Source organism: Homo sapiens, chromosome 8 (genome assembly GCF_000001405.40).
Source record: "Homo sapiens chromosome 8, GRCh38.p14 Primary Assembly".
In the NCBI taxonomy this organism is placed as follows: domain Eukaryota; kingdom Metazoa; phylum Chordata; class Mammalia; order Primates; family Hominidae; genus Homo; species Homo sapiens.
Window position 1 is genome coordinate 11,426,323 of NC_000008.11, and position 21,033 is coordinate 11,447,355.

Sequence of the window (21,033 nt, forward strand, 5' to 3'; positions counted from 1 at the left end):
CAAACAGTAACTGGACCACCTAGGGCGAGCTTTCTCAGGACCTCATGAGACTGTTCCCTGGCCCATGGTCACTTACACTGGCTCAGAATAAACCTCTTTAAGTATTTTACAGAGTTTGTTTTCTTCTGTTAACAAAGAGATGTGATAATTATTTCTCACCTGGCTTCACACTCCCAGTTTCCCAAACCCACTGTAAACCAAAAGTGTCTGAGACAGGTGTCAACAATTTAGAAAGTTTATTTTGCCGACGTTAAGGATGCACACCTGGGAGGCAGGTCTATGCCTTTCCTCAAAGATGATTTTGAGGGCCTTAATATTTAAAGGGGAAGGAGTGGATACTGGGGGAAGAGGAAGAAATTTTTTAAAGGTGTAGGTAGATAAGAGACAAACGATTGCATTCTTTTGGGTCTTTGATCAGCCTTTGGTTGATCAGTCTTTGATCAACCGAATACACAATTTACATGTTTGTTTAGGGTAGAGGAAAAGTCACTTGTGTCTTAGTCTGGCTCACTGAATCTGCATTTTTATAGAAGATAACATAAACACAAGGCACGTGAAGCAATCAGGTATGCATTCGTCTCAGGCGAGCAGAGGGATGACTTTGAGTTTTGTCCTTTGTCCCGCACCTGAGAAGATCAGATGTCAATTTACATTGCCAGGGTGAAATTCAACAGAACTGTTTTAGGGTACAGGTCTGGGGGCCCAACACGGAAGTTCTTTGTGGGCCAATTGTGAGGGAGGTATGTAGGTTTTGTCTTTGCAGCTATCTTATCTAGAAATAAAATGGGAGGCAGCTTTGCCTGATGCAGTTCCCAGCTTGACTTTTCCCTTTGGCTTAGTGATTGTGGAGTCCTGAGATGTATTTTCTGCTCATGTTTAACCTTGATGGGCCTCACAGCCACTCCTGAGGTACCAGCAGGACAGTCTGGCTCCATATTTTACCAGCCAGCATGCTAGCTGGAGCTCAGAGGGCTGGTTTCTCAGTTGTGACATGGTACATAGGGACTGGCTTAGTGCAGAGCGCCTTCTGTAAGCAGCACTTTGTCACTGGGACAGGTTGCCAGCTGCTCCTACTTGACTCGAGATCTGAATCCTTCTCACTATTTCCTCTGTCTCCACTTGTAAGTGGTTATTTAGTATTTCTGCGACATGCTCGGCTGTGCCATTTACCTGGTGCCTGGAGCCAAACTGATTAGAAAAATGAGCCCTGAGATGCCCTGTAGTTATGCAAATGAAGGCAGTGTTCTCACTTTCTCCCTGTTAGGTTTATAATAGAGCACATTGCAGGGTAGAAAAATTAAGTGACCTTGCCAGCGAGCATCTCAATGTTCTTTTTTTCCTCTCTCGTTTTTTATGCACTTGTACAGATCTCTTTTCTCCTGATTTCATATATAAGAAAAATCAAGATAGAAAGTCTTGCTTGGGAGTCAGCAAGGTATCTAATGGCAAAATTGGGATTAAAGTTCATAGCCACATTCATTAGTTTACTTTTCAATCCTTGGGCCTCAAGCATTGAAGAAACTCAAATTTATTGCTAATTAAATTCTATTGACCTAGAATAGCACCAAATTAATGATGATAGGGTGGCTGGTCATTTGTTTTGTAATGGTGTCCCTCACTGAGCCTGGAACGGAGCTAGGTGCTACCTAAACCCTTCTGAGGAGATGGGGGTCAAACCTGCCTGAAAGATATTGTCTGCGAACACCCATTGCCTTAGTACAGTCATCTGTCACTTCTCTTTGGAGTGTTCTGTAATTTGACAATAGATCTTTTTGAAAAACTAGGAACCCTATGGTTTAAGATTTGAGCTTTGGCCCCAGGAATTGCATCTTTGGTGTGAAAAGATCCTTTGAAGTCGGGGAATTTGGGGTGTGGCCAGGTGTCTAAGACTATCTGTGAGACGCAGGCTGTGGCGGACACATCTCTGTGGGGTAGCAGGAAGGAAGGGGCTGTTTTTCTGTGGCTGACAGATCTGGTCAAAGGTCAGAGAACAATTTACTCTTTAAGACCCATCAGAGGCAGCTAGAAAGAGGGCTGACAGTAAGGCCTGTGTCAGTTTCCATGGACTGGACAAAGGCCGCCTGGATGGCGTTGCCTCGCACGCCCATGCTGTGCACATGCATTCAATTCTGCGTAAGGGTGAAAAGAGAAAGAAAGCTGCAGCTTCAACAGGGATGGTGATTCCGGCCGGTCTCCCTGCTTGCGCTCTGAGAGAACATGAGGAGGGGGCTGGGAATTGCAACTTCCTCAGTGGGCTTTGGTTCTGAGGGCATCTCACAGCGTGAGCATCTCGCTAGGATGCACTATGGGTTCTCACATTTAGATGCTCACAATACATAGTGTGTTGGGATCCCTGCACACAAATCAACAAATTCATCTCCTGCCCCAAAGAACAGGGTTTGTCCCCGTGATGCGGGAGCCCTGGCTGTGCTGGGCCCATGCTCGGCTGCTCCCTGGGCCACACAGACATTTTGCAAAGGTGACTTTGCACCTTAAACACTAACTTGAGCCCCGATTAGGAGGTCACTCTGCTGTAATTGAACCAAATCCACACGAGTTCCCACAGACTCTGAAGAAATCTGAGCAAAATGTGCAAGAATAAGAGGCTTAATTTGTTTCTAGAATTTTTTTCTAGTTGTGATAAAATCCATACAACATAGAAGTTATCATCTTAACCATTTTTAAGTGTACAGCTCGGTGGCAATTAAGTACATTCACGTTGTCGCGCAACCACCATCCATCTCCAGAGCTCTTTTTATCGTTCTAAACAGAAACTGCATCCATCAAACACTAACTCCCCATCCCCCTCCTCCAGCCCCTGGCACCCACCCTTCTACTTTCTGTCTGTATGACTACTCTAAGAACCTCACAGAAGTAGAATCACACAGTATTTGTCCTTTGTGAGTGGCTAATTTCACTTAGCATAATGTCCTCTGGTTTCTGATGGCTAAGAAGCTTTTTATAAATTAATCTTTTTAGAGATTTGCAATGAAGATATGTCTTTGCTGGTCCTGTGTGGAGTTAGTCGGGAGGACGGCGGTTGCCCGGGAAGGCACAGAGGGCTGCGCCAGTTCAGGAGAGCAGGTCTGAGCTGGGACTGGAGTGCCTCCTCCTGTTTTCCCTTCAAGCTCTGCCAAGGGGCCCCCTGGAGGCGGGGATGACAACACAGCCCCGGCTGCAGCCGCACACGTTTGACATAGATTGTTTCATCATGTTTTCCCACAACTCTAGATGGCAGGTGTGATTTTAGTCTGTCTTACAAGGAAACTGTCTCAGAGAAGTAAAGGAACGGCTCATGGCCAGCCAGCCTATGGCATCTGGACCACACTCGGGCCTGTCAGCACCCAGAGCTGGAAGACTCTCCCAGGCTCCTGTCTGCTCAGAGGCGAGCTGGGCCCAGGGGTGGCAGAAAGGGAAAATCCACAGCCCTGGGTTAGAACCCAGGTTCAAGCTGAGCTCCACTCCTCACTCGTTGGGTGGCAAGTCACTGCCACCTGGAACTTCTGTGTCCTCATCTACAGAAAAGAGATAAGGCCTCTTCTCATCTCTTCTAAGGACAGTGAGAATGAAATTCGACAACAAATAGCATGGCAGAAAATATGAACTACGCTGGCCAAATCAAAGTAAGAGGTGCACCATCACTTAAGTCCTTTCTCTCCAGGCCAAGGCACAGAACATGGAACCCAGCAAGGACCTCCCAGTTTTAAGCCCTCATTAAAAGCCTGAAAAGCTGGCCAGGGTGACTCAACTCTCAGTGTGGGTTTCATGCTGTCTCTGGCAAAGGCTCTACCATAGGATGTGCCAATTTCCAGTCCCCGCTCCCAGCGTGGCCTGGTGTCTCTCTGAGAACAAAAGCACTTGCTGAATTCTCAGAGGTGCAGCCTGTAATCCCAGCAACCCCATAATTAGGGCACAGAACTTGTTGAAAGGGAAGAGATGTCATTGGTCGGGGGCTGTCCAAGCACTGTGGTGACAGGGTGTCCCCACCAGGCTTGGAAGAAGGGAAGGGCGGCAGCCACACGTGGCCCCTTTGAAACAGCTGTGCTTGTGATCTGTACTACAGATGTTTGTTTTTTTGGGGGCAGACAAGAATGCTCGTTAAGATGTGAGCCACTGCACCTGGGTGAAGTGTTGAAATGTTCTAAAATTATACGTGATGATGGTTGCACAACTCTGAAAACACTAAAAACCACTGAATTGCTATTTCAAATAGGTGAACTGTATGGTATGTAAAGTTTATCTCAATGAAGTCATTTTGAAAAATTTTAAACACCAATTAAAGAAAGAGAGCAAGAGAGAGAGCCAGGTTGTTTCTCAAGGTAGAAGGCAAACCCCCAAGAGCAGGATTAAGTCACTAAAGATGGTAATTAAATGGGTCTGGAAGAGGACAGAGATTTCCTTACTTCCAAGCTTTACGTGGTGAGGGGAGGGTGTGGCAAGGGGGCTGGAGGAGACGGCCAAGGCGGCCCTGGAAGAAGGACCCAGAGAGGAAAAACGCAAGGGGAAGGTCAGCCGAGGACATTCAGATCATAGAAAAGTCTAATGCATCAAGCCAGTGGTTTGCTGGGGGGTCTCTCTGGACCTGGGGATTTTCCTGGGGAGTCAGAAGAGCTGACTCCTACCCTCGGAGCTGGGTGGAATAAAACAAAAGCCTTAAGAAAGGTGTGGGAAACAGCATGGCGGGTCCCGGAAAGTTAAACAGAATTACCATATGACATGGCAATGCCACTCCAGGTACACACCCCAAACAAATGAAGGCAAAAGCTAGAACCTGGATTTGTACATCCACGTTCACAATCACCAATAGGCGGAACCAACCCAGTGCCCTCCACAGATGAATGGATCCACACAATGTGGCCTATCCATAAAGTGGAATATTATTCAGCCTTGAAAAGGAAGACAATCCTGGCACATGCCATAACATGGATGAATCTTGAGGACATTATGCTAAGTGAATTAGCCAGACACTAAAGGCCAAATACCGTAGGATTCCACTTAGAAGAGGTTCCTAGCGTAGTCCAATTCATAGTGATGGAAAGCAGGACAGTGGTGCCAAGGGCTGGGGAGAGGGGATGGGGAGTTAGCGTTTAGTGAGCACAGAGTTTCCATTTGGGAGGATGAAGTTCTCGAGATGGATGGTGGTGACGGCTGCACAGCAATGTGAATATATTTAGTGAACTGTACATATAAAATGGTACATTTTATATTATACATATTTTACTGACATTTAAACAACAACAGCAGAGTCTGCAAATTTAGAGCAATCAGTTCAATCCAGTTTGCCCAGGACCTACCTGGTTCTAGCACTGAGAATACTGCATCCAGGGGACCTCCTTAGTCCTGGGCAAATAGAGATGGCCGGTCAGCCTGCCTGCAGCAAGCGTGGCCGCAGGTGCTGGGGAATGGGGGCCCAGCCTGGACAGTTGGAGGGTGGTCTCAGTGATGTTGTCTCTAGCCTGAGTGACACTGGAAGCTGATGAGACCCTGAAGAGTAGTCTGGGAGGTAGAAGGGCCTCTCTGGGGGGTTACTGGAGATGGGGGCCACAGAAGGAGGGTACTGGACCAATTGGCAAAAAAAAAAAAAAAAAAAAAAAAAAGGATTTTGTTCTTTGCCAAAGGCCCGAGAGGCTGGCCGGGGTGACTCAACTCTCAGTGTGGGTTTCATGCTGTCCCTGGCAAAGGCTAGTCTAACATAGGATGTGCATTTGGGAAAGGCAGCATTTTTGTGGAATTTGCATCCTTACTCAACATCCCCTGGCTGATCTGTGTTCACTTGCTTGGTCTAAAACACTGAGTGATTTCTTCACATTCAAGGGAAGCAAATACTCTTAGTTGCCAATGAGATCTGCTCCAATACTTTCTCTGATCCCACGGACTGATGTCTATGGGTCTAAAACGGCCCAAAGATTTTAGGAATTAAAAATTTAAAAAAGGACATGTACTATCATCAGAGTGAACAGGCAACCTACAGAATGGGAGAAAATTTTTGCAATCTATCCATCTGACAAAGGGCTAATATCCAGAATCTACAAAGAACTTAAACAAATTTACAAGAAAAGAACAACCCCATCAAGAAATGGGCAAAGGATATGAACAGACACTTCTCAAAAGAAGACATTTATGTAGCCAACAGACAAATAAAAAACACTCATCATCACTGGTCATTAGAGAAATGCAAATCAAAATCACAAGGAGATACCATCTCACACCAGTTAGGATGGTGATCATTAAAAAGTCAGGAAATAACATGCTGGAGAGGATGTGCAGAAATAGGAATGCTTTTACACTGTTGGGAGTGAAAATTAGTTCAACCATTGTGGAAGACAGTATGGCGATTCCTCAAGGATGTAGAACAGGAAATACCATTTGACCCAGCAATCCCATTACTGGGCATATACTGAAAGGATTATAAATCATTCTATGATAAAGACACATGCACACGTATGTTCATTGTGGCACTATTCACAATAGCAAAGACTTAGAACCAACCCAAATGTCAATCAATGATAGACTGGATTAAGAAAATGTGGCACAGATACACCATGGAATACTATGCAGCCATAAAAAAGGATGAGTTCATGTCCTTTGCAGGGACATGGATGGAAGCTGGAAACCATCATTCTCAGCAAACCAACACAGAAACAGAAAACCAAACACGGCATGTTCTTACTCATAAGTAGGAGTTGAACAATGATAACACGTGGACACAGGGAGGGGAACATCACATACCCGGGCCTGTTGGGGGGTAGGGAGGGATAACATTAGGAGAAATACCTAATGTAGGTGACGGGTTGTTGGGTGCAGCAAACCACCATGGCATGTGTATACCTATGTAACAAATCTGCACATTCTGCACATGTAATCCAGAACTTAAAGTATGATAAAAAAAAATAAAAAATAAAAAAGAACATGTAATTGTCCGACCATTGGAAGCACAAGGAGCAACTCTATGAAGGTGTTACCTTTAACCTACCATGGTTTCTGCTTCCTAAAATAAAGGCAATGCACGGACCACCAGACAAATCCTCCCCTTTCCAACAAAAGTCTTACCCGAAACCCTATTAATAGTTTGTCTTTTTTCTATCGTCTAATGCTTCCATTCCTGAAGAATGTGGCTGTGTGCACTTTGGCTTACGAAACCCTCTGTTCTTTTAGTTTGGTGAAATAAGGGCTGTGATGGCAGCAAATCTGAAAACATGTTTGGGGCAGAGATTTCTGGATGCATCTTTAAAGCTGGCTTGAGAGAAATCCCAGTGCACAGGGGCCAACCAGAGGCGAAAGAGTGCGTGTCCTGGAGAGCGTGGTAATCAGCTCAGAACTGGGCAGGCAGACAGAATGCCAAGGTGGTGAAGGGCATTTTGTCTGGTCCCTTAAAGTCAGGCTCTTATCTCTCCTATCCCAGCCTAATAGCTACAATTAGTCTCTGATGCATGCTGAAAAGAGGGTGCGTGTAAAATCCAGGCTGTTTTGCCAGCTGTGTGTGCAGGCCCAGAACATGTTCCACTGTCCGACGATTTGGGAATGAGACTCACAGTTCTTGAACCCAGGAAACAATTTGTGTAATCTCTTTCCTTATCTTATTTAACTTCACCTGCAGGTCTGCCTTATTATTTTCGTCAGTGTTGTGCAGGAGAATCCACTTAGAAGCCTGGGTAAAATTGTATTACATGATCTTGGGTTTGGTCCCTGAGAAAGAGCCAGATTAACGCTGGCAGGAAAGAAAGCAGGAGTGCCCTTCAAACACGCTGCTGAAGGGCAACTGGAGGTTCCGGGGAAATGTGAAGAAAGAAACGCAAACACCCCTAGGAACCAGGTTGGTCTTGTGAATTGATTTCCAGAGGAAGGCTGGAGTTTCTTTCCCAGAGGTCTCTATTCGGGGAGGCTGCAGCCCAGCGGGAGGGAGCTGAAGCTGACTCTCCTGGCGAGCCGAGGCCGCACTCACGCTCTGCAGCCCAGAGACTGCAGGGCGGGGACTCTGAGCCTGGCTGGTCCTGGGTTCTCTTTCAGGCCCCTGGCCTGGGACTGTGGATGGGAGGGGGGCAGGTGCAATGGCTCCTGTCACTGGGCTGACTTGCATGCAGGAAGGAGACAGCAAGATGAGTCCATCTGAGCCAGGCCTCCAGGGATCCTCCCTGCCAGGGGCTCCTGTGCCCCCTGGGGAATGGTGAGTTTGCTGGGAGGGAGAGACGACAGCCCCAGAGCCAGGCATAGAGCAGGAGGCTCTTCGGGCCCTGCCGAGGACTCCACAGGAAGAGTTAAGCTCTACCCCTGTGATCAGGCCTTTAATTTTTCAAACTTGGAAGGTGTGGGCCAAACTACACACCTTCAGGGGTGAGGCTGGCCTTTGGGAAGGACAGAGTGATGCATTCCGAAGAGCCCCTAGATCTGCCACTAGGGGCTCTGGGTTCCAGTCCTAGTGCAGCCTCTGATGACATGATGACTCTGGACAGGTGGCATGTGCCCTACACAGAGAGAGGATGCTGATCACCTTCCTCCCCTCCCATCAGATTGCATCTTGGAACTGAGGAGGTTCTGGAAGCTGTACACCCAAGGAAGACATTCTGTGCCGGAGAGAGAGTGGGAGAGATGTGACTGCTGCTGGCTGGGTGAGGACAGGCCCAGAGGACAGCATCACTGGCACCCACCCCTGCATTTGGGTCCTCTGCACCTCAGCTCCCAGCATCTGGGCCTCCTCCCTGCCTGCCTCCCCCCCTCACTCAATCTGTCTCCACTCAAGAGGCTGATGGGCAGGTCTCCCTGCTTCTTCAAATCTTTCAAAGGTATCACGGGACCCTCCTGTTCCCTTGACCTCTCCAGCCTCCTCTCCCACTCTGATGCCCTTGCCCCCACAGGGCAGCCACACTGAGGTTCTGTCCCCTCCCCTGTGGTCCCTTCTCCACCTGTCACCCTTCAGGACCAGCTCAGCCTTTGTCCCTCTCCCTGCAGAGGGGATGACAGCCCCATGGGCGCCTGCTACCACTGCCCCTCCATGCGGCCTCCACCATGGCACCCACGTGTTGGGCATTGGTTTCATTTTTTATCATGTGTCTAGATGACAAAACACCAGAGGAGAGACAGAGACTGGGGCCACCACAGTGCCTAGGGCATGCTCTGGTGCTCAAAAGCCATTTGTTAGATGAATGAATCAATGAATCAATCCGTTAGTTAAATTTCCCCAGAGCCAAGTCTTGATTTTCCACACTACATTACCCAGTACCTGTCTCCACGGCTGGGACAGTCCTGGAGACCTCACTCCTCCCTCTGCTACCCGGGCTGACCGCCACCCTCTGGGATCTCCCACTGCCCCCAGGCCTGTGGAGAGGCAGCCAGTAGAAAGGACAGAGGAGCAGCCCCTGGTTCAAAGTCCTTCTCTTCAACTTGCTGGTGACGCCACCCTGGGCAAGTCACCCCACACCTAAGCTTCAATTTCCTCATCTGCTACATGAGCATAATAGTACCCACTTACTGATAATAATTGACCGTAATTAAATGGGCACACACTACTGATCATTTATGAGAATTAAATAAGCCCATATCCACACACTTTGTACAGGACATCGAGTTCCGGAATTACTAGTTCCACCATATCCCGTCTTCATACACAGAACCACAGAGCAAACCATTCAGTTACGTTTTTACTTCCCATGTGGCGCTTGCCCCAGCTCCTGGGTGCCGGGTCCCTGCCAGAGCCTTTTTTGCTCCTCACAGCCTGGCTCAGGGCGGGTCCCCAGCCCAAGCTTCACCCACCTTTACTGAGCGCTCCCTTATCGCTGACAACTGTACTGCCTGTCACACGTCACCAAGCATGGTCCGGGGTTGGGTAGGGCTGTGTTATTGTCTCTATCACCAAGTGTTGCCAACGTCAAAGGGCTGGTAATGCCAATACACTTCAGACTGGAGATGCGGTGGGGACCCTCCCACTCAGGGGTGTCCTTAGCTTGCACATGAGGAGGGCCAGGCCCGCCACTAGGGGCCAAGGCCTTCCTCAACTTCCCTGCCACTCCCCTGGAGAGCAAGTGGGGGCCCTCGTGAGGCCAAGCAGCCAGTCCCAGGACTGCTGCCCCTGCCAGGCTGCGAGCATGGCCCAGGTACGGCTGTTCTTGCTGGGCCCCCGGCAAGACCTGCAGGAAGGGCTGGCTCCCTCACCTCTGTGAGCTCGGCCATGCTGCTGGGGGTCTCTGGGCCAGTCGGCGGAGGGAGAGAAGACACCCCCTAGCAGGGGCTGTCTCCCTGCTCCGACAGGAGCTCCCCTGCACGGCCTTCTCAATTCCACCTGCAGGAAGGCCTCCCCCATCTGCAGGCAGGAATTGGGGCTTGCATTACATGAAACTGGAAGCTTTAGCCAAGGTGATAACTGTCCTATGGAAATGGAGTGCCGAAGTGCCCTGGGGTCACCTGAGAGCCCTCAGAAGACCCCTGGGGCACAACTGTTGGGATTTCTGGGCTTTTCTTGGGTTCTCTATCCCCTGCTTTGGAAACAGATGTAGCGGGAGCTTCACATCTGATGCTGAGCGAGAACCAGCTAGGAAGGTGTCAGTAGGCTGCTAACCTCAAGGGAGGGAGAGCTGAGGACAGGACATGAGCTGCTGGAGTGGGGACCTGTGGGATTAAATAGGGCTCCCAGGCACCTGCAGTTGCTATAGATTCCTGCCTGCGCCTCCAAAGGGAAGTGAGGCAAATCTATTTTCTGCCCCAGCCTCCAGGCAAGTTTGAGGCTGTTTTGTTCTCCAAAGTCACTTCATACTCCATTACTCGGGTACCTGTCTTCTTGGGAAGAACATGCTTTGGGCTTCAGCTGCCAGGGGCCTCACAGTTTCCTATAGCATGGTGGGTGAATCCAGACCCACTGCAGGGCTTTGAGGTCGGGCAGATCTGAGTTCAAATTCCTGCTCTGCTGATTGATCTTGGGCAAGTTTTTTAACCTCAGTTTTCTCATCTGTGAAATGGGGATAGTAATCGTGCCTACCCGGAAAGATTGCTGTGGCTACTGAATGATGTGAGGCGTGTGTATAAACATGCGTAATACAGTACCCAACCATCCCAGGGGCCCAGCAACTGTTCAGTGTCCTAATGCCACTCATTCCCCTCCTCCCTGCTCAACGCGCTGCCAAGTAGGGATTTATCATTTTACAATCACAAAACCAAGAAGTCTTGGTTAATTGGTTTACCTAAAGGCACACAACTAGGATATGGTAGAATCTGACTTGAAGTTGAATCTAATTACACATATTATGCTTTTTCCAGTGCACTCTTGACCAGTTAATGAGCCAGTTGTATTAGAATCACTTGCAGATACCTGTTAAAACCCCAACACCTCCCCAGGTTTATGGAATCTGAATTTCCATGGAGGGCTGGGAGGGATCTGCATTTTTAGCAAACGCTCTAGGTGCCTCACCCAGTAGTCACTACCCCATACCGTCGTGTGCTGTTATAATGGGGAGGGTGCCCATCAGAGGAATTGAGTTTATTATTATAGAAGAAACGTGAATGGGAAATAAGGAGAAACTTAATGCAATTACGTGGACAGGCATGGATCTGGCTGCCAAGGAAGTGAGGAATTTGCGTATTTCCCTTTGGTTAATTTCATCATCCACCATCATCCACTCAGCACGGCCCTCAGCTCACCAGATCATCTCAGAACTCAACTTACTGCATCTCTATTATAACTTTTGTCACACCATGCCACTGTGTTTATGTGCCTGTCTTCTCCTTCGAAGGGAAACTTCACAAAGACAGGAGCCCTGACCCATCCACCTTGGCCTCACCCCACCCCAGCACGGAAGCCAGGCGGCCAGTGGAGGCCGGTAGTGCTGAATGGACATGGGGCTGGATGAAAAGACTTCCGCCTGCCTCTCTCAGCCCCGGAATCGCCATGAGCTGCTATTCCGGTGAGGTGCTGCTGTGGGGATCCTCCAACTCCCTTCTCCTTGACCCTGCAAGACAGCCAGGAAAGGGAGAGCAGGCAGGACCTCCCGGTTGGGGTCAGCTGCAGCTCCCTGGCCAGCAGCCCCAACTCATCAGCTCTCACATCAAACAGGAATGTTGGGAGATTGAAGGCCTTACTTTTATTTGAATGTTGGGAGATTGAAGGCCTTACTTTTATTTTATTCTAGGAGATTCTATGCTACAGAAGTACAAGGTGAAGAATGCATACCGATTACATTGGCAAGGGAGAGAAGAGCCTGGTGCTAGCACTTTTGCTTCTTTGGTCTTTCAATAATGTCTTTCCCCTTGATTATACATGATATATTCCTATTTTGGAAACTTCGAAAACTATAAAAAAGTCAAAAGAATAATATTACCACTCAGAAATAAAGATCATCAAGTTTTGGTGTATTTCCTTTCCTGGTTCTTTTGTTTATACATTCTTTGGTAACCCCCACGAGGCCGTATCTGCCCAGATGAATAGAACAGGAATCTTCCTCCTGCAGGGCTGGTGCCAGACAGGCTGAAAGCACCGGGCTATGCAGAGAAGACTTAGCCTTGGGAGAACAGAGGCTGGGACGAGGAATTCTCTTGTGAACCAAATCCCCGCTCAGCCAGTGCCTCGCTGATGGCTCCGAGCAACTTGCTACCTTCATCCTGAAACAGTACAGCTGCCCTGTCCCTGGAAATGGTTGTTATGAGGCAGTGCTAGCAACCTCCTGTGTGACCTTTTACAAGTACCCTGTTCTGAAGGGTTTAAGCACGGGCTTTCTGGCAGCTCAGGGCCCCTTGACTTGGACATCTGATGTGCCCAGAACAAAGAGATCTGGATCCAGAACCAAGTGATGTGTGTCTGTGTCGTGGCTTAGCCACATCCTTGCATATGACCTTGGCCAAGTCGCTTTAAACTTTCTGTCCCTCAGTTCTACAACCTTTCTGAGCCTCAGTCTTCTCCTCTGTAAGATGGGAATAGCAAATACTTCCAAGCCTTCTTGCAGGATAGTGTATATGGAAGGTTCCCTAGATGGGGGGTATCAACCTGGCTGTATCGCCCACTTCCCGTCGGAAGACACTGGTGAGTATGACCTGCCATTTGGCCACACTGCTTAGCACACATGGATGACACCTGCCTCAGAGGGCTGTCCCCTGACATACCAGAGTCTTGTGCATACCAAGCAGGCAGCACAGGCAACAGAGGGTTAACAGGGAGAGGGCAGCCCCCTCGAAGCCACGCTGTGGCCACAGTGGGGCCAGCTGAGTTTAGGTCACAGGCCTCCTGCCATGACAGGCCCTAAGTGATGAAAACTTGTCAAGGTTCTCTTCTCTCTCTCTAACAGCCATAAACACCTCCTTGGTGCGGGGGGAGGGAGGAGACTGCGGGAGGAGGGTGTCTGCAGGGATCACACACCTGCGTGAAACTAGAAGAAAAATATCAGTGGGTGCCCAGGGCTTCTCACTACAAACTGCCCATTAGGAAGCCGGAAGGTTTTGGTTTTCATCCTGGCACTGCATAAACCACGTGGAAGACTTTATTGCCCCTTTTCTCTGTCTTCCAGGTTGGCAAGGGGAACTTGTGGGTGTGAATGAAGAGAGAAAACAGAAAGGAGGGTCCCTGCTCCCCTGTGCTGAGTGCCCAGGGCCCCATCCCAGGGAGTTGGCTGATGGACCAAAGCCCGGGCAGAGGCGTGTGTGAATGCTCTGAATTCCGGACTCAGCTAGAGAGGAGAGAATCCCACAGCTCCAGATCATGCTCTTCCTAGCTCCCCTACTTCCTCAAGCAATGCCCTCCCCCCACTCCCACCCAGGCTACTCGGCTGCCTGGAAGGTGAAACCTGGGGGCTGTGACCTTCTGGGGACCTGAGCAGCCTAGAACTGCAGCTGCACAACGGCCACTCCCCTGAGCCAGTGTCCCAGGAGCAGCGAGACTGGGCCTCGCCTGGAGGAGTCAGGTGGCCGCAGCCCTGCCTGCCACAGCCAGAGAGCCACACATCTCCAGCTCCGCCCCGGGGAGCCCAAGGTCAGGCCGTCTTAGCTGGGAGTCGCACTAAGAGGCTTGGAGGATCTCCATCAGCCTTGAATCCCCAACACATTAGCCTGAAGGAAAATCTGATCTACTTGCTGATCCCTGGGGGGCGTCAGGAGTGACAGTCATTTCCTTGAAAGCTGAGAGGGAGAGCTGACCCCTGAGAGCTGTTAGGATCCTCCCAGCCTCAGAGATCAGCCACAGTCAGGCAATCATTCTGCCTTTTAGCTGGTCTTGCAGGAGGCGGGAGCAGATTAAGACGATGCTTCCAGACCCAGCACTGCCTGCCTCTGGTTGAGGTGACATTGACCACTGCCTCCTGGGAGAGCTGCTAGGTGGTCAGAGGACAGGTTAGAGTCTGCCTTCTCCTGCAGTCAAAACTCCCTTTAAGTTACAGAAAATATCCACACGACTAAGGGAATTACAGATTTCTAATCGATTTCCTTGGCCACGTGAGAACAAACAACACATTTGCACTTGAGCCTAACAAATCTGTAGGAAGGGCTTGCCCAGGTGTAGAGAAAACCACCTTCTGGGCTTAAAATATGACAGAAAAGGTTATGCAAATCACTTTCACTGAGTTAAATAGGTTAATTTTTAAAGGTACCTTCAATGAGTTAAGAGGATGAATGAGGGAAACCATGGCATTAAGTTTAACGTTTTGACTGAGACTTAAATAGAGCAGAATGTGTTTGTTCTCCAACGCTGAACTCTCAGTTTTCAATCCAATCAAAGGGTTTTTGCAAGTTGCTTTCTAATCCCAGCAGCAGGCGGAACTGCACGTCCAGCCTGCCTGCCTACCTGCCAGCCAGTCTGTGTCTGGTGTACTTTGGGCCTCAGAGTCGCAATCTTCTGAATGAGTGTGGTTCTTGGACCACTCAGGGTGGGATGCTGTGGGTTTGTTCACTGAGGCCCATTCACCGAAGGAGCCCCAAGCCACATGGGCAGTTATGACAGACACAGGGCTCAGAGCTCCCGCTTGGGGATCCCTGGGTCTGTCCTCTCAGGTCCCCTGTTGGTCCCCTGGCCCTGGTCTCGCCCTCCTTTCATTCCCTGATACCCTAAGTGTGGCCCAGGGACTAACAGAATAGTGTCACCTTAGAGCTTGTTGGAAATTCGAAAGCACAAGCTCCATTCCCAACCAAAGGGACCAGAATCTTCATCTGCACATGAGCCCCAGTGACCTGCATGCACATTAGAGTTTGGCAGTCAATGCTCTGAGAGATTCTCTATCCTGTGATGAGGATGATTTCTGGAGCATGCATCTCCTTGGTCGCTGCTCTTTGAGCATGCCCAGTGGAACCCTCTGCGTTGGGCCACCTCACGAGCCTCACCTGCTACCTCTCTCCCCATAGCTCTCTACCCTGTATGAGTTCCAGCCCCGGCTCTGTGGCTCACTCATCATGTCATCCTAAGCAGGTCACCTGACTTCTGTGGACCTCAATTTATCCATCCATGAAATGGACACAGTGAGGGCAATCATGTAGTCTTGTTGTAAGAATCAGAGATCACGGAATGAGGCTGCAACTCATTCAGTCCTGTTTCTCTCTCTGCCCCCACCCCCATGCATTCTGTTGCCTGCTGACATTTTTGTGATTTACATTTTTGGGAATCAAACAGGAAAAGCAGGGGTACCAGGAAGGTCATCCGACAATTAGAAGAGGTGAGTAATGCCTGCGAAGTGCCTGGCATACAGGACACACCCCTGGTGGCACAGGGAAGTGGCTAGAGGAGCGGAAACAGTGCAAATATAAAGCACTTTTAATAATGCTAATATTCCCTTTACCCTATGTACGACAGCCTTTGGTAGTCAGATTAGTCCTGACAATTTCTGCTCTGCTGTTGGCCTATGGAGCCTGGCTCTACACATCACCCACGGTTGTGCCTCACCCTGGGCCACCTTCCTCGCTTGGCCAGCACACTGGGCAGGGCACTTCATGCTGCTTGGCTCACAGGCCTGGCAGGAGATGTGAGCATGACTTGTAGACTCGAGGCCCAGGCTGCACATGAGAAGCACGCAGGAGCTTTAAAAACCACACGTGTGGTTATCACCCCCAGACATTCATTGGATTGGTCTTCGGTGTGGCGTAGGCTTTGGGAATCCTAAAAGCTCCCCAGGTGGTTACGGTACACGCCAGAGTGAGGAGACTAAAGGACGATAAGCAGGACAAATTCTAGGAAACTCCATCCTAGTGGGCGCTATGCGGAATGCTAACTTCCTTAAAAAGAAAAAGCCTCAGCTCCCACAGGCAATAAAATCTCGAACTCGAAACCAACAAATAGTATCTTTGATGAACAAGAATGTTTTTTGTTCCTTCCTAAGAAAGCAAATCAAAGCAGTTTAGCCTCAGCCATTCAAAGAGCAGCTGGGGGCTGTGCGCGGTCTGTCCTGGGGCACTGTGCATCTCCCCTCACCTCTTATACCCCCCACCAAGAGCACCAGGGGTGATAGAGCACCCCAGAGATATGGCTCAAACCCGCAGGTGCCTCATCTTCTCCGAAGCCGACAGCACATGCACCCTCTCGTTACTAAAGACGGATATAATAGAATGGTGTGTTCTGAGAAGCACTCTCGGTATCAAGTGTTAAAACGCAAACAGGCTTCCAATTAATCAGTCAGATCCCTGCGTCCCTGAGCCCTGCCCCACTCCAAACCCCAGTGGATTCTCTCAGCCCCTGAGGCATTCCAGGCCTCATGGGGATTTAGTTTTCGGGATTCTGCAAAACAAACCAAGCAGGCCTCAGCCTACCCAGCTGACCCAAGAGCCACTGCCGGCTCTGGAAGGCAGCTGCCCTTGATGGCTGGCTCACCTGTGGCCAGAGTGGCCTGACTCGCAGGTGTCACCTGGGCCTCAGGGACGGGGTGGGGCAGGGGTTGAGAGCTGGGGTAGGGTTAGCTTCATGCCTGGTGCTGCTGAGAGGCTGTCGTGCCAGACACGGGTGATTCTCCCCTGGGGGGGTGGAAGGGGACAGGGCACCCAGCTCTGCCCCCCCACCCTGTTCTCAGGCTGAGTCACCATGCACAAAAGATGCTCCTATTGGGAATCTGCTTTGCCTATGAGCAGGAAAGTGACCGCGCTGCGGTCCCAGCTCAAACACAATGTGCCTTTACCTCACACCTGGCCCCGCCCTGACTTCTGAGCCAACTCCTCCTCTGAGCCTCCTCACCGAGCTTCTCCCCAGGCAGGACCCATCCCGCCGACTCTGGGCAGCTCCACAACTCCTCACCACTCGAGCACATTCCACACCGAGCCAGCTCCTCACAGCAGCGCCCTGCACAGCCACACCCCAGCCACTGTGCCCCATGGAGCCACCCGGCCAGCGCCCAGCACAAGAAGAGGCCGCTCACGTGCAGAAGAGTGGTCCCCGGAGTGGCAGGCAGCTGGGGTGGACAGCAGGGTGGGGAGGTTCCAGCACAGAGGGAGGGGCAGTCACACCCCAGGAGCCAGACTCCAGTACTGGGAGCGGTGTTGGGGGGAGGGGGGTACACCTTAACATGGGTTCAGGTTCTGCCAGAAAACACCTGCTTCCTTCATTAGTGTCTGCAATTAGGGGCTGATGACACCTGGGTCCCCCCAGCCACATACAAATGACGCCTGCCTTCAACTCACGGGAAGATTACAGATGTGCACTTGGGGGTTAGAGAGAGGGGAAGAAATACATGGTGGGGGTGGGGAGACAGACAGAGAGAGACAGAAAAAGACACAGAGAGACGGTGGCATCTCCTCTTTTCTGGGGATTCTTGGGGGCAGCCACTCACCAGTTCCTTCCTGAGCCAGGCTATAGCTTCATCGATGCTCTGAAAGCCTTCCAGCTTGCCAGTGGACAGGGGTCTGGCACCTTGGCTGGCACTCCTGGCAGAAGGGGGGTGCTGCCCAGCCTCTCTCAGGGGGAGCAAGGGCTCCTGCCCCCCACGCTCCCCCTCCTCCAAGCTCGCCTGTGGCTCCGCAGCCGGCCTCGGGAAGGGCCAGGTATGCTCCTCCAGCCTGGCCTGCCATTCCAGGTAGGAGGGCCTGCGGGTCTCCAGCCTCAGTTTCTCGGTGAGGGCCTTCAGGCTCCGGAGGTGGTCATCGGGTGGTGCGGCTGCTCCCGCCCCCTCTTCTGCACCCACTTCTTCCACGTGGATCTGGGGCACAGACATTCTACAGTCTGCCCTGGCAGCCGGACATGCGAGGGCACGGGGGGCGCAGGGGGAGGCTTGGTGGGTGGCACAGTTGGGTCCCGCTCTGGGATGGCCTCATCCAGGTGCCCGAGGGCATTTCCGGGACAGGAGCCGGCCTCAGAGGCTGGGTGGCAGGGGAGCTGAGAGGGACCGCGCAGTGAGCCGCACAGGGCGCCCTCCTGGAGGCTCGGGTCTATGATCCGTCCTGGAAGCCTGTGGGTGCCATGCTCCACAGAAGGCAGGAACAGACAGCGTCGCAGGAATCTCGGGGCAGCCTGTGCCAAGGTCTATCTGTCCTGAACGCACTCGAAGACCAGACTGGCAGGAAGAAGGCCCAGAGCTCTCTCTTCTCGGGAAGGGCAGGTGGCTGGAGACCCTGTGGGAGGGATGAGAACCGCATCAGTCCCGATCCCTGCCCTGCCACTCAGAGGCGGGCACGTCCACTCCACAGGAGGGGAAACTGAGGCTCAGAGTGGACTGGTGGCTGCGCTTCTCATGGCTAGTCCGGGACGGAAGTGAGATCATTTTAATGCCTTAATTCAATGCAGAGAAGTTAATGAGCAATTGAAAAATTGTGCAGTGTTTTACCATTTATATAAAAACGACTCCGCCTCTACTATCTTATTTAATGCCCCCAGCAAGTCTGCAGGGATTTGTTTTTATTCTCATTTCACACACGAGGAACCCACATATCCTAGAAGTTAAATGACTCACCGAGATCTCCCAGCAATAAGTTGTGGGGACAAGCTCAGGCTGTCTGAATCTGAGGCCACAGGTCTTTCCTCTCTGTGGCAACAGCCGGGGGGTCCCCAGAGCCAGCCAGCAGGGAAACCGCACCCCACACAGGCTAAGGTGGGTCTGCTCCGTCCAGGTGCCACTGCCCCCTCACCACCTCCACCCACCACAGGTCCTGTCCTCCAGCAGCCGTTTCTACATCCAGGTCTTACTCTACGCTCCTAGCTTCTTCCTCCAAGAACAACACCTTACCTCACCTCTTCAGAGACAGAAGCAAATAAACCTGCAGCTGTGGAGGGAAGAAGGCGGTGGCACCTGGGCTGGATGGCTAAACAAGCAGGCTGTGACTCATTGTTCTAGAACGAGGCTTCTCGTGTTCACCTAAGTGCCCGCATGGCAGCACCTGTTTGGTAAAGACTTCAGCTATGGGATCTGATGTGGCCTCCCCATCTCCAGAGAGGAGGCATAAGCCCCAGCTCCTACCCCATAACATCAGACACAGGGTAGAAATCTAACTCCCAGTAAGAAGAGACCGCAGCCTCCAGACTCTGTGGTCCGAGGTCCATGGGGTGGGCAGTGGACATGGGTGAATCAGAGTAGGAGACATCTGATTTGGACCCAGGTGGTAAGCCCTGGATTTTAAGGGTGTGTTTTAAAAAAAAAAATCTGTGCTGGGGGACATGCAGCTATAAAAAAGAATGAATTGATATGGAATGATGTTTGAGATAAAGCTTAAATGAAGAAAAGCAAGATTCTCAGCAGCCTGGAGAGTAGGCCACCCTTGGGGTGAAAAAGGAGAAAGAAAGAGGGATTGTTACTGACTTGTAAATGCCTAAAAACATCCCGGCCAAAAAAAAAAAAAAAAAAAAAGGAAGGGAATAGCCATAGTCATGATTACTTGTTTGGAGTGAGGGGAACTGGGCAGAAGGGAGGTGAGGATAGGAGGGAAAAGAATTAAGATGAGGGTGGCAAAAGCTGAACAGGCAGCAGGACCACCTCGCGGTGTCCTGGGATTCCTCTCCGACATGGCACGCAGACGCTTAAGAAAGGAGAGCAGAACTTTCCAGTCCAGACGTTTTCCTCAGCCCCAGCCTGTGGTGGGGATGTGAATGGAGGACGTCCTGCTGCCCGACCTCTGCCGCCCTAGGCTACGAGCCTGCCCTAGCAAGGGGCATCCATGGAGAATGAGAAGGAATAGTCCACCCCAACTGGTAAGCAGAGAAACCCGCTGTCACCTCCAGCTCTGCTTGGAGCAAGCGAGAATCCCCCTGAGGAACTGGATTCTGATTCAATTGGTCGAGAGATGGGACTTAGACAGCAGTGTTCAGCTCCCCCGATGATCCGAGTGTGCAGCCGGGGTGGAGAACCACTGTCTCCAGATGCAGACACTAGAGTTGGGATCAGATGGCCTAGCTCTACGTCTTGTCAGGCTTGCTAAGTCTCATTTTCTTCATCTGTAAAATGGGAGTGATAAATACCAACCTCCTATGTTCTAGCAGATTGGCAGAACTAAAATTCACCGGCACTCTCTGAAGACTTAGCACGCTAAGTCCGCAAATGCGAAATGTACTCATGGGAGTCTCCTGTGCAGTTTCACGGTCAGAATCTGTCCAAATCTAAAGACTTATCAGCTGCTTTCTGGGGCCCCTCCCAGGCGCCGTCTGCCTCTTTGCTGAGGTGCCAGGATCTGTTTTGAGCATGTCTGGGGCAGCTGCACCTACAGGGCTTCCTTCTCCCTGGCAGGGGAGCTCTGATTAGATCCATCAAAGCTTCCTGGAGAGGATTCAACTGCAGGCGGATGAGCAGCACCCTCCCGCCCTGAGTTCTGTGAGGAGATAACATGGATGAGGAGCCCTGGTGGCCCACCCCCTCCCCCACCAGCAGGCTCCCACTGCAGAGGTGAGGGCATCCCACTGGGCTACCACTGCTGGGTGAGGGGCTCCTCTCAGGGTAGGAAACTGCTACAAGTCTGTAACTGTATTGCAGACAATTTATTTCAATTATTGGTTTCTTTTCTTTTTCTTTTTTTTGAGACGGAGTTTTCACTCTTGTCACCCAGGCTGGAGTGCAATGGCGTGATCTTGGCTCACTGCCACCTCCACCTCTTGGGTTCAAGCGATTCTCCTGCCTCAGCCTCCCGAGTAGCTGGGGTTACAGGCAGCTGCCACCATACCCAGCTAATTTTTTG

At 50.9% G+C, this 21,033-nt stretch overlaps 1 protein-coding gene and 1 long non-coding RNA gene across 7 annotated transcripts in view, besides 4 other annotated features; one reads left to right on the top strand and one right to left on the bottom strand.

The window, feature by feature from the left end:
* FAM167A-AS1 (FAM167A antisense RNA 1) overlaps positions 1-12,335 on the top strand; it is a 70,256-nt gene extending 57,921 nt beyond the window's left edge. Inside the window, exons 4-7 of the long non-coding RNA NR_026814.1 lie at positions 7,598-7,813; positions 8,508-8,780; positions 11,718-11,888; positions 12,114-12,335. This is a non-coding gene — a long non-coding RNA (FAM167A antisense RNA 1). The remainder of the gene's footprint in view (positions 1-7,597; positions 7,814-8,507; positions 8,781-11,717; positions 11,889-12,113) is intronic.
* Positions 1-21,033, bottom strand: part of FAM167A (family with sequence similarity 167 member A) — a 54,433-nt gene that overhangs the window by 4,847 nt on the left and 28,553 nt on the right. For 4 of the 6 annotated variants that reach the window (XM_011543840.4, XM_011543838.4, NM_053279.3 and 1 more), the window contains exon 2: positions 17,709-18,486. In XM_011543840.4, the coding sequence (XP_011542142.1) occupies positions 17,709-18,089 (381 nt within the window). In that variant the 5' untranslated portion in view covers positions 18,090-18,486. Of the gene's footprint in view, positions 1-17,708; positions 18,487-18,824; positions 19,694-20,080; positions 20,452-21,033 lie in introns of those variants that run through there. The other 2 variants (XM_005272398.6, XM_011543837.2) reach the window with 2 other exon arrangements.
* Positions 9,580-10,099: an enhancer, noted in NCBI's record as "H3K4me1 hESC enhancer chr8:11293411-11293930 (GRCh37/hg19 assembly coordinates)". NCBI's record gives its function as "activates a minimal SCP1, AML or CMV promoter by ChIP-STARR-seq in naive H9 embryonic stem cells {active_cell/tissue: H9 hESC(naive)}" and the evidence as "EXISTENCE:reporter gene assay evidence [ECO:0000049][PMID:30033119]".
* Positions 10,100-10,619: an enhancer, noted in NCBI's record as "H3K4me1 hESC enhancer chr8:11293931-11294450 (GRCh37/hg19 assembly coordinates)". NCBI's record gives its function as "activates a minimal SCP1, AML or CMV promoter by ChIP-STARR-seq in naive H9 embryonic stem cells {active_cell/tissue: H9 hESC(naive)}" and the evidence as "EXISTENCE:reporter gene assay evidence [ECO:0000049][PMID:30033119]".
* Positions 11,895-12,098: a silencer, noted in NCBI's record as "fragment chr8:11295726-11295929 (GRCh37/hg19 assembly coordinates)". NCBI's record gives its function as "represses an EF-1alpha promoter that drives an FKBP-Casp9 reporter gene in an ReSE screen in K562 erythroleukemia cells {active_cell/tissue: K562}" and the evidence as "EXISTENCE:reporter gene assay evidence [ECO:0000049][PMID:32094911]".
* Positions 16,523-17,114: an enhancer, noted in NCBI's record as "H3K27ac-H3K4me1 hESC enhancer chr8:11300354-11300945 (GRCh37/hg19 assembly coordinates)". NCBI's record gives its function as "activates a minimal SCP1, AML or CMV promoter by ChIP-STARR-seq in primed H9 embryonic stem cells {active_cell/tissue: H9 hESC(primed)}" and the evidence as "EXISTENCE:reporter gene assay evidence [ECO:0000049][PMID:30033119]".